This window comes from Homo sapiens, chromosome 13 (assembly GCF_000001405.40).
Source record: "Homo sapiens chromosome 13, GRCh38.p14 Primary Assembly".
Classification (NCBI taxonomy): domain Eukaryota; kingdom Metazoa; phylum Chordata; class Mammalia; order Primates; family Hominidae; genus Homo; species Homo sapiens.
Genome location: NC_000013.11, coordinates 32,135,488 through 32,147,549, shown reverse-complemented (window position 1 = coordinate 32,147,549; position 12,062 = coordinate 32,135,488). Strand labels below are relative to the sequence as shown.

Genomic DNA, 12,062 nt, shown 5'->3' with positions numbered 1-12,062 from the left:
GCCAATGACTATGGAAAGCCTGAAAATGTTCCTTAGGACTTAGATCTTTTAGAAACTGTCAGCTTTGAATAGCTTCTAGTTGAGTTAGCATAGGTAGTAATAAAAGAAACACCCTCTGCAGTGGCTGAGTGATATGGTTACCATTGACACAAGCCAAATCTTACCTCTGAGTAGCTGTGTTGCTTTCACATTTAATTCGAATCATGTAAACCCAAAGTAATCTGTAGAGAGATTCCAGTGCAACTCGAGCCATCTTGGGATCTTTGTTCTATAACAGAAACCAAGATGTAAGACTGCAGATGTAAATAGTGAGGTCTGAGGTTCTAGAGATGGCTCTTATCTGCAGGCCTGGAAAAGGCAAGCTCCAGGTGGATGGCTGGGTACTTATGAGACACATTGCATCACCTGGGACTTACAGAGTATTGGCCTCTCAATGCTCATAGGATAAATCATCCATGAGGAGGCATATAAACGGTGGGACAGATTAATTCTGGGGGAAGCCATGTCATTTTCTCCTTTGCCAAGATGAGTACTCAAGAGGTTATCTTCTCCCTCCAACCCTAGGGAACCCAAATTCTTTAGCACCAATATGAGAATCAGTCTGTTCTTTTTATTGTTGATTATGTCCTTTTAAATCCTTACTGTTTTGATTCTCCAACACCTCTGCCCCATCCCCATCCCATCTGATTACCCTCCAATATTTATTGAGACTAATGTGTACTAGGTACTGTGCTAGAACCTGAGATGCAGAGATAAAAGATAATCCTTTCCCTTAAGATGTTCACAATCTATGGGGGATGGGAGTCAACTCTACAACAGTATGAAAAACTGGTAGGGACAGAAGCAAGAGGATAGGAAGAAGGGCAACATATGGCAAACTCAAGGAATGGGGTCAGGAAAGGATTCCAGGTGCAGATAAAAACTCAGATGACTCATGCCTGTAATCCCAGCACTTTGGGAGGCAGAGGCAGGTGGATTACGAGGTCAGGAGTTCAATACCAGCCTGGCCAAGATGGTGAAATCCCGTCTCTACTAAAAATACAAAAATTAGCTGGGCCTGGTGGCGGGTGCCTGTAATCCCAGCTACTTGGGAGGCTGAGGCAGAGAACTGCTTGAACCCAGCAAGCAGAGGTTGCAGTGAGCTGAGATGGCGCCACTGCGCTCCAGCCTGGGCGACAGAGCGAGACTCTGTCTCAAAAAAAACAGAAACAAAAACAAAAACAAACAACAACAACAAAAAAACTCAGATGAACCTTAAATCCATTTTTGTTGTACTCATTCATAATGCACACACATTTGAGCTACTATGCTGAGCCTGCCACAGTTTGTGGCCCTAGATACTTCGAAAGGTGTAAAAAAAAAAAAAAATGGTGGGAGGGAGAGGTTTGTAGGCAGAGGCAAGAGCACATGGAATCTGAGAGAAATGGAGGAGCAGAGGGCTCCTGTTTTGGAGCCTGGGAATCCTTTGTATGCTGGTGAAGGGCCAGTGCAAGGCCAGGTGAAGGAGCAGTAGGTGGTGAGGCTTGAGAGGAAAGCAGGGGCTACATGAGGCACCTTTCATGAGGAGAATAGGCTTCTCATGATGGTGACAGGCAGCCAATGAGATCAGAGAGACCACAGAGGAAGTCCAATGTCTGCAGCATGGGGAATGGAGCAGAGGCAGGGAGACCAGCTGTGGGCACCCAGGCATTAACAAATCAGTCAGAGGCCGGGCGCGGTGGCTCACGCCTGTAATCCCAGCACTTTGGGAGGCCGAGGCGGGTGGATCATGAGGTCAGGAGATCGAGACCATCCTGGCTAACAAGGTGAAACCCCGTCTCTACTAAAAATACAAAAAATTAGCCGGGCGCGGTGGCGGGCGCCTGTAGTCCCAGCTACTCGGGAGGCTGAGGCAGGAGAATGGCGTGAACCCGGGAAGCGGAGCTTGCAGTGAGCCGAGATTGCACCACTGCAGTCCGCAGTCCGGCCTGGGCGACAGAGCGAGACTCCGTCTCAAAAAAAAAAAAAAAAAAAAAAAAAAAAACAAATCAGTCAGAGAGGGGAGTGTGGGTTTCATCATCTGTGGACACTTCATTCCTCCATTCCTTACTTCTGACTCTCACTCCATCCTTTCAAACAATTTTATAGATTTTGTCCACAAAATTTCTCTTGAATTTGACATCTTATCCATTCTCATTTCCTTTGCTATAGCTCAGGCTCCCAACACTGTCATCTGGACTGCTGTAGTACCCTCCTAACAGTCTCCCTAAGTCAATCCCTGCCCCGATGTCTATCTTACACCGATTATAATCCTTTCTATATAGAAATCACAGAATCGGTAGTTTCTCTGGTGCCTGTGGGATCAAGCTAACATTTCTTGGCCTGGCATACAAGACTAGTCAGTAGCTGGCTCTAACCTATCTCTTCTGCCTCCCATCCTGTTACTCTCCCGCAAGCTTTGTAAACCCTAGCTAGGCCACGTTCATTCTATTTCCATGATAGAAGTGTCCTTCCACCCCCATTCCTGAATCTTTCTTTTCTCCCAAGTGAACCCTGTTCATTTTTTATAGTGGGCTTGGATGTCCTCTCCTTTGTGAAGCCTTCTCTGTTCCTCCCTGATGCCTTCAATTCCAGCCCGTTAAAACTAATTATTTCCTCCTGAGTGTCCCCTGACTCTCACACATACATCTAGCATAGCCCTTCCACTCCTTACCTATGGGGAGATCTTGTTTAAACATCAGTTCCCACATAAATGATAGGTTCTCTGAAAAAAGGGGACATTATTTACCCCTAAGATCTATTAAAATTTCTGCTGTTCTGCACGGGGTCAATGAATGTTTGCTAACCAGTCTTTCAGTGTCTTAACTTTCTGATAGGTCTTTTGCCTTTATGTTACTTGTCTGTCTCCATTTATTTAGTCATATGATTCTCTTTTCTTCTTAGTGTAGATAATTTAGGTACTGATTTTTATAGAATTCGTAATTGTTTAGAAATGATCTGGGATAAAGTTTATCTTTAAACTGTTACTGAATAAAGATGTGTGGTCATTATTCTAAAAGTCTAAATTTCCATGTACATTTAGGTCTGTTCTACATTTCCTTTTGTTCTACTAGTCTGTCTATTCAAGTACTAATACAACATCATTTTAATTATTCAGGTTTTATAATGTGTTAATATCTAGTATGGCCTACTTCATATAGTCCATTGCTTCTTTTTTTAATTTTTAGCGGTTTCCAAGATGTTCTTGCGTGTTTATTCTAGATGAACTTTATAGCTATTTGTTTAGCTTCATGGAGAAAAAAAAACCTGGCTTTTTAGAAGCACACATTTATGTAGAAGTTTTTTTTTTTGTTTGTTTTGGTTTTTTTTTGCCTGTTAATATAACAGGTAAAATTTGTCAAATGTTTTAGTTACTTAAAGGGGACTTGAAACTAGTAAAGCTGCATTTAAAATACTCGCTCATTTAAAAATTTCAGAAATTCTGACTACTCGTCTTCCAATTGGTCCAAATCAGCAAATGCCTATGGTGTACTTACATGGTGGTTAAAAGCAGACTCCACACACAGACTGCCTGGGTTTGAATCCATCCTTGCCTTATAATTTATTAGCTGTGTGGCCACCTAGAGAAAGCATTTTAATCTTTCTGGGTCTGATTTTCCCTGTCTGTGAAATGCAGATGATAATCCTACCTCCATCACAGGAATGTATGAGAGTTAAGTGAGTTAATGCACATAGGGTACTTAACACTGTACCTGCCTGTAGTATTATTATGTAGAAGACACCTGCCATCAAGCAGCAAACAAGGGAAATGTAGCCCCTGCCTTTAAGGAGCTTCTCTTCTAGTAGAAACATCTTTTCCTTTGTGAATTTCCTTTTTTAAGATATATATAACAGTTTATATTTGCATAGCATATCATTTGAAATTCTTTCATATTCATAATCTCTCATTGTGTATCATGATGAGGAAGGCAAGTATCATCTCAATTTCACTGTAGACCATAACCGAGATCTCTAGTTTAACTGATTGACATTAGTGTCTTCTGTTTCAACTTCAACTTCTTTAAAATATTTGTCCTGTCCCTCCTGTCTACCATTTTTCTAGCATCTTATTGTGACTAATATTCTTTCACTCTTAAGAACATTTTTGAGATTATTTTTGCTTCCATATGCACTGAAAAGCAAAGTAGCAAACTTAGGTTTTAGTTTGTTTTGTCTGTGGATTATGTACTGTTAATTGGTTTTTAGCATTTCAAGATGATATCAGATCATTGCAACTGCCTCCTAAATGGATTTTCTGGCCTCTCTTCCATTCTTGCACAAATGATATTCTTGAAAATACAAACATGTTTTTTTACTTTCCTGCATTTAAAGTCCTTAAGAGGCTTCTAATCACCTACTGGACAATGTCCAAATTTCATAATATAGCACATGAGGGGCCTTTTGTGACCTGGCTCCCTTGTACCACTTCCTGCCTCTGCCTTGTGGTAGGTGAACCTTGCACTGCAACATCCCTTTTGCAATTCCCTGCATGCCTGGAATGCCTTCCTATCCTTGTCTACTTGGATAACTTCAATTAGGTTACATCTCCTCTTACTACATTCCCCTGCCCCTCTACTCCTGTCCCAATCCTCTGGAGAGGCTACCAAGCACCCCTGCTCTCTGTTTTCTAGGAAACAGACATCCTTTACTTGAATGTTTCCTACCAGACAGTGAGTTCCAGGCATTCTGATTTGTTCATTTTTGTGTCCTCAGTGACTACCATACAGCAGGTTATATATTAAAAACAAAACCAGAAAGTATTCAAAATCAAAAACAATCTGAGTAGTAGCTGAACAACTTGATGCATAAACTAGATTCATTTGTACAGGACCTATATGAAAGACAAACTTTGCCATGTAGGTGAAGCTAATTTTCATATTATAATGACAGTAATAAATATCTTGCACTTGTATGGAATTTTGGTATTTCAGATGTGCTTTCACATAACAAGATGTCAATTGAAGGATTTTATAAATGAGGGAAGGCCCAATAAATTGCTCAAAGTAAACGACAGTAAACCAGGTTAGTAAACGACAGCTGGGATAGGAATTGACTTAGGCTCTAATAAGTATTGTTTTCTCAGAAATTGGAATGTATGTATTACATGGTGCTTGCCAGGGCAGGTATTTTATTTTAATCAATGCTGCACTTATATTAACTCATTTTAATTTTCACAGCAATGTATGGAGTAGATTCTAGGCACAGAGAGGTCAAATAACTTACCCAAGGTCACACAGCTAATAAATGACAGTGCTAGAATCTGAACCTAGGCAATCTGGCCTCAGTGGCTTTAAAGCATTAAATTTTCCACTTCACTTTAATAGTATGTGGAGGCTGCACACATATGCTATTGGTGCCTACTCTACTTGAAGACAGCACTTCTTCTTCTTCTGTCTTTGTATTTCCTTAGCAGCTAACAGAATAGGTGCTTGATGTATATTTTCAGGATGCAGACATTTCAGCATATGTCTCAAACCACTGATTTCTGTGTCAAAGATACTTGCTTCAAGATCAAAAAAAACCATTCTTCTGTTGGAATCTGCATCTCCCTTAATTAATTAACCAATAATTAATTAATAGTATGCATTTATTATGGCTCTGAGGTTCATTGATACAATTGTTCAAGAAACTAGTGGGCTTCAGAGTAGATCTTCCCTGGACCCTCTGCATCTCACCTCACTGCCAGTCACTGACTTCATGGAATGTGTCAGCCTATCTAATAACATGCCTACCTCCTTTAAATTTTGCTTTTAATTAATTTAGTTAAAACAATTCAGAGTTAATGGGAACAAGTGGGGACAAGTGAATTCACTGATAACTTGGCTGGTGATGCAATCAGTGGTATAGACCAATGTTACTCAAGGTCCGTCAGCTGACTATTTGCACCAAGTCACCTGTGCTGCTTATAAATATGCAGATTCCTGGGTTGCACCTTAGATATTCTGAACCAGAACCTCAGAAAGTGGGCTTCAAGAAGTTGCATTTATAACAGGCTTCTGTAGGAATTCTTATGTATGTTAAGGTAAAGACCTAGTGAGACAGATAATTTTAGTCATCTACTAATTTTGTTATACTTAAAATACCTTCCAGTTTTCTCTTCCATTTCAAAGAGAAAGCCATCTAAGTAAATCTATTTCTTTGTTATATTTTGCATATCACAGCAATACTTTACATCTTTTTGACATTTCTTTTTGATACTTGAATCAACTTACTTTGATTATGATTCACCGGGTTTGATGACTGTATATTATCCAAATAACCTATTGCTACAGTTTAGGATAATCTCTAAAATTATCATAACAACATTTTTATGGCAATTATTTTTCTATTGAATGGTTGGATAAATAAGGCATTCATGGAAAATAACGTGCTTGTCATCTTATTATTAATTTTTACGTCCAGTTTATGTGCATTATTGGAATCTTTGAAATGTGCCTTTATTTTTGTAGATCTGAAACAGATTTTCTCAAGATTATAGAAATGAGATTAATAGTAAAGCGGAATAACTACATCTTGAAAATTAATAATTAAAATAGCTATACTATACCATTTAAATTTGGTATTTAAAAGAGAAAAGTAGTCATTTTAAAATAAATGCCATATATTTTAATTAATTCAGGCAATGATTGTGGAATCCTTAATATATTACTCAATGTCTCCATTTACAAGATAAAGATAACATTAATAAACTTACTATTATGTGAAAAGTTGAAAAAAGCATTCAAACTTCATTGCAATTATTACATACAAATATTGAAGTGCTATACACAAGCTTCATCAAATATATTTATGGCAACCACACTTGTTTTGAGATTTTTCTGGAAATCAAATACCCTGCTTGTACCTCCCTTGCCTGCCTTCCCTGAATGCGTCATTCTCAATCCTAATATCTATTAGGTTTTCTTTAGAGTAGTTATCATTATCTGTTTTTTTTTCTTCTCATGTATTTATTTATTTGCTTGTTGGTCTGTCTCCTCCACTAAATTACAAGGTCTAAGAGACCAGGGAGTGCTACTGTCTTACTCATCACTTATTCCCAGTACCTAGAACTGTGCCTGGTAGACTACTTATAAAGAATTGTTGGCAACTGACGGAATGGATTTAAGTCCTAGCATAAGTACTCCCTGAGAAAAAAGGAGTATTCTTTCTCATTCTGTACTTTGGTTTCTCCAACTTTGAAACTAAACTGAATCATGTCTAACCTTCAGATGCAGTATTGCTATCTGAGCAAATATTTGGAAATGCATAAACAACATTCATGAAAGCATAAGGAAACTCAGTGTAGCCCGTGGCATTGCCATGATACCCACAACAATGTATAGGAAGCCTCTACCACTCACCTGCTCATAATGTATCTCCAGTGAATGAGAGCTATTATTATTATTAATCAAATAATTCATGTGTTTCTTAACCTTTGAGGTTTCTTTTCTGTTTTTGTTTTTTTTTTAATAATCTGGGCCTCACTGGTATATTATATTCATTTTTATAAAATATAAGAAATTTTTAAATTCTCCCAATTCATTTTATTTTGAAGGATAAGAAACTAGCACATAGTATTATGAACATCATTTCATTTAATTTTTAAATTTTTAATTTTTTTCTCATCTGCAAATGGTGACTCAACATTTTAAAAGTACTATTAAATCAAGTTCACAAAGCATATTTCCTTTTGTCAGAATTAGGTGTTGTATGGCAGATGTGAAGGGAATGCATTTTTTTATAGCACAATATGTTCAGATTCTGACATAAAATACATAGAAGAAAAAAGTATTGGTCACCACGGACCAAGAGTTCCTGAAAGATGTGAATGTCTCAGTGAAAAGGTGCTATACATTTCTCATCAATTTATAATGGAATATTACTAATAGATGCTTAAGTTAATTAAGTAGAAAAATTAAAGATTTCAAGTCTGTGCTCCCAAAGCAACCTGCTTCTGACTGACTAATGCTGGGAATAAACCAGGGCACTGACATTAAGTGAGTGTTGACCCTGAGAGCTTGTTTACATTGAAAGTGGGCAGGTTTTCACGCTCACGCACACTTCTGCTCTGCTCTGCCACACTGCCCCTTGATGGCTCACCTCTACAGAATACATCAAAGGTGGCTACCAAAGGTCAGCATGTGGGATTCAGGTGCGAAGTTCACTATCCTGAAGCATCTGTGGCTGGGGAGGGGTAAGGAAGGCAGGGAAGGGTGCAGAAAGGTGCGTCGGGGAAGGGTTGGTTTGGTGGTCACTTATGAAATGGTAGAATTGGCTCTAAATCCCATAAAATACTGCAGCAATTCAAGACAAAGTATATCTTTGAAGCTGTGTTAGTTTTTTCTCAGGTATTTCTTCCTTACTAAGGACTCAAGAGGTTTGGAAGGTTTTCTGAATATTAATAACATTTTTTAAACGGTCCATTCAAATCCCTACTAGGTTTAGTTCTAAATATATGCAATACAATTTTATTTCATTTTTATCTTATCAAGGATATTTTTATATCTTTTAGCCTTGACGTAGTGAATTCAAATAGATTATTACCCATAAAATAAGACATCATTGCCTTTCTGCCTTACTTTGCCTAATTATTTCTTTCGTGATTCGTGGGGTATGTGACCTTTATAACTCTCAGAGGTATCTCCCTGCTCCTACCTTTTACATCCTTCACTGTCTGCATCACGCATTTTGAAACTTCATTACATATCCTCCAATGAAATTCTAAGCTTGTCAAGCACAGGGACTCTAGAATAATCTAGTTTTTATAGAATTGCCTTCCCCACTCCTTCCCACTTTCAGCACCTTCCCTAACACCTCACATAGTGGACACTACATAAGTCCCTGCTGAACTGAATTCTGGAATGTGGTTCAGTCTCTATAGCATTCACTCTACATCCTCTTTCTGGCCTTACTGCCTCTTAGAAATCTTAGTGCTTGAAAAGTTTGCACAGGGATATACTGTCAGTGCCCAGGCCTGCTCCTCTCTGGGGTTGTATATAACCCTCATATTAAATCTTTCTGGTGGGGTTTGACTAGAGCTGTAAGCAATATTCTAACTTTGAAGTAATTAAGTTCCAAAGTAAGATGATCTGCTATGTTTCAAAAACAAGTTCAGACAAAAAATTGGGGTCTCTGTGGCCACAGCAATAGATTGTCATGAAAAATATTATTTTAATTCCAAGCAAAAACCCATACACATTAAACATAGAATATACAGAAAACTGCACTATAAGCACTCTCAATAATTCCCCTCTCTGTTTTCAATAAAGTGACTATTTCCTATCTGTGTAAAATGTAATAGAAAAAAAATTTAATGAACTAACAGCTGGATAACTTGAAAGTGGACCAGTTAACAAATGACACTAGGCTACATGTTAGAGCTATATGGCAGATCCTCAAAAAAAAAACAAAAAAACAAAACAAAACAAAAAAAACAAACCTGAAAGTGGCCTTTATGTAACACTTGATAACCCTGAAAAGCATTTCATTTTTTCAGAGTACTTAAAAGCTTAATTTTCTATCCACTGCTATTATATTTCACTGCCAATTTGAAGAAAATGAATGATTCTAATCTTGGATTTCACAATCAGCTTTTAGAGCCAGCTCCTAGTTGGTGCTTAAAACAGCTCTAATGCAGATTATTGTGTAATTATGGTAAATGCCAAAATAATATAATTAATCTTAACTACTTCACCAAATTAAAGCATCATAGAAAAAAAAAGGTAACGTGTATAAGCACATACAAAATTTTGTAACTAACTATATTCTTAAAATTCAAAAGCAGCTAATATCAAACTGGTAAAAGAAATTTAATCACATCTTTGGACACAACCAAGAACAACTGTCAAAAATACATCCTATTTGCACTTATGTTAGGGATAGTTTTCATTTCACTGTCTTTTATCAATAGGTTACTAAAACTTAAAACATGTTCACCACTTTTAAGTTATAAAGTCCATTTTAAAGACCCAGCACCTGTGTAGCAGGTGTATTGCTGGAAACAGTGAATGCTTAGGACTGACTGCCATGTGGCTTGAACAGGATACCTTCAAGAATCACAAATGACAGTGACAAGAAAGAAGTGCTCTCTGTTGCTAGGTCAGTCCTTCCACAGACTGGAGCTATCTGAGCAAAATATTTAGAATTTTGCTCAGATTTTGCCCCAGAGACATTCTTCTAGACTGGAGGGGATAGAGAAAGGATGGGAAGGTATAAGTGAGCTTCTGAGATCAATTCACATGCTTCTATTAGCTGAATGTGGCCCTTATTCTATTTTTAAATCATTTAGATAAAATGTGACAATGGATGCATATAAAAGAACATTTAATTCTACTTTTAAAGTGATCCTTGTTAGAACAGATTTATTTTTCCCAAATCTGAAGTGATTTATCTTATTCCTAGTCACTTTCTAAAATTGACTATATTTAATAAGAACTCTTATTAATATTTTTTCATTATTCCACCAGTATAGGACAATTCCCCTGGCAAACATCAGGAGTCACTTCCAGAAGCACATCAGCCAGCCTAAAAACTACTGTAAATTTTTTAAAGAGATCGTTTTTGAGCTGACAAATACTAACTTTAAGGTTGGACAAGCAGTTGTTGAGGAAAATGTGCCACCTGTTCAGGAACAGCTGCTTCTGACTGACACAGAGCAAACAGGTCACCAGGGGGTACAAGGCCTGAGGAGAAAGGAGAGGAGGTCACAGGATCATTTATATTTCAACAAACCAGGTAACATACATTCTCTGTACCCACTACCTTGCCATCTCCCTCGGGGGCCCTGTGGGCAAGAAACAGGACACTGTGTAGCACAACAGTGCCCAGTGGATGCAGGGCACTGGCGCGCATTTCACAAACGCTTTCTGATAATGCTGGGGATGGAATAACCAAGAATTATGGATAGCGTGTAATAAAATGAAAGAAGTTTCATGTATAATAATGCAGAAATCTGATTCAATGATTTAGACTTTACTTATAAAATTTAAAAACAAACTTACCATCTTAGATCACTCTCTTAATCTCCAGAAAAAAAAGCAGGAAGGCACACAGATTTTGAAAATGTTATTGGCTTTTTTGCTCATAGACATCTAATAATTTGTCCCTATCTTAGAGGTAGTTGTCTATATTTTCTTTTGCATGCAACCTTCTGGTAATTAAGGAAGATTCCTAAAAGAAGTGTTATTGCATTGGTAAACTCTACCAAGACAAATTTAACCACAGGAGGAATTTGCTTATGACCAAATAAACAGAGGTGCTACTGTGCTTTTCCTGCCTAACTGGGCCAGCTTCCCGCAGCAACTTGAGAAGACAGCAAAGGTAATGAACAGCCACCGAAAAAAATCATACATGCAGAACCCATCACCATTTTGCTAAGCCAGATGTAATAGACCTTTATGATTCCCTCTTAATCAAGGGCCATGAAATAAAAATGTAACTGGCTCATCTGTTAACTTGAATTAACAAGAAACAACTGCCCACAATGCTTAACAGTTCATTAGTCGTTTTTTTTTAAATTAACTTAGTTTTAAAGGGACTTGGAACTACTGCTACCATTGAGTGCAGCTCTAATGCTAGTCAGTAATCTAAAAAATATGCATGCAGTTAGTCACAATGACCACAGAATGTAGACGAATGAGCAAATTTGTCACCACTACCAGCAAAGCAACCCTAAGTACCTGCTCAAATCATGGTAGGGATGCTCATCCTTTGGAGACTAGCATAAACCATGCCAGTAACCAGATCCCTAAACAACTTGCTTCCTCCTGACTTTCACATTACAGCTGTTACATCACTCGCCGATTCATAAACCAAAGCTTTATTCACCATAGCGGGTAAAAGGTGGTGGTAACCTAAAAGATTTTCTATACTGCTCTTCAGTACCGAAACCTTCCCAAGAATTATTTTCCCAGCCTTCAGATAATCCTTCCTATGGGCAACTGTCTATTTCCCAACTCCTTTTCCTGCCTGTTTCCATTTTGATCCTAGCATCCAGATAGAAATTTGCCAGGGCAGGCTCCTGGGGATTGAGAAGAGAAACTGTTATTATAAACTTTAGCCTTCAG

General features: G+C 38.0%; 1 protein-coding gene across 5 annotated transcripts in view, besides 2 other annotated features; it reads right to left on the bottom strand.

The window, feature by feature from the left end:
• Nucleotides 1–12,062, bottom strand: part of FRY (FRY microtubule binding protein) — a 267,352-nt gene that overhangs the window by 151,576 nt on the left and 103,714 nt on the right. For all 5 annotated transcript variants that reach the window (XM_047429999.1, NM_001411012.1, XM_047430000.1 and 2 more), the window contains exons 11-12: nt 10,578–10,679; nt 165–268 (exon numbers count right to left, since the gene is read on the bottom strand). In XM_047429999.1, coding sequence (XP_047285955.1) covers nt 165–268; nt 10,578–10,679 — 206 coding nt within the window. The remainder of the gene's footprint in view (nt 1–164; nt 269–10,577; nt 10,680–12,062) is intronic.
• Nucleotides 4,240–4,741: an enhancer, noted in NCBI's record as "NANOG hESC enhancer chr13:32716946-32717447 (GRCh37/hg19 assembly coordinates)". NCBI's record gives its function as "activates a minimal SCP1, AML or CMV promoter by ChIP-STARR-seq in naive H9 embryonic stem cells {active_cell/tissue: H9 hESC(naive)}" and the evidence as "EXISTENCE:reporter gene assay evidence [ECO:0000049][PMID:30033119]".
• Nucleotides 7,924–8,218: a silencer, noted in NCBI's record as "tiled region #2624; K562 Repressive non-DNase unmatched - State 24:Quies". NCBI's record gives its function as "represses a minimal TATA promoter and a strong SV40 promoter by Sharpr-MPRA in K562 cells {active_cell/tissue: K562}" and the evidence as "EXISTENCE:reporter gene assay evidence [ECO:0000049][PMID:27701403]".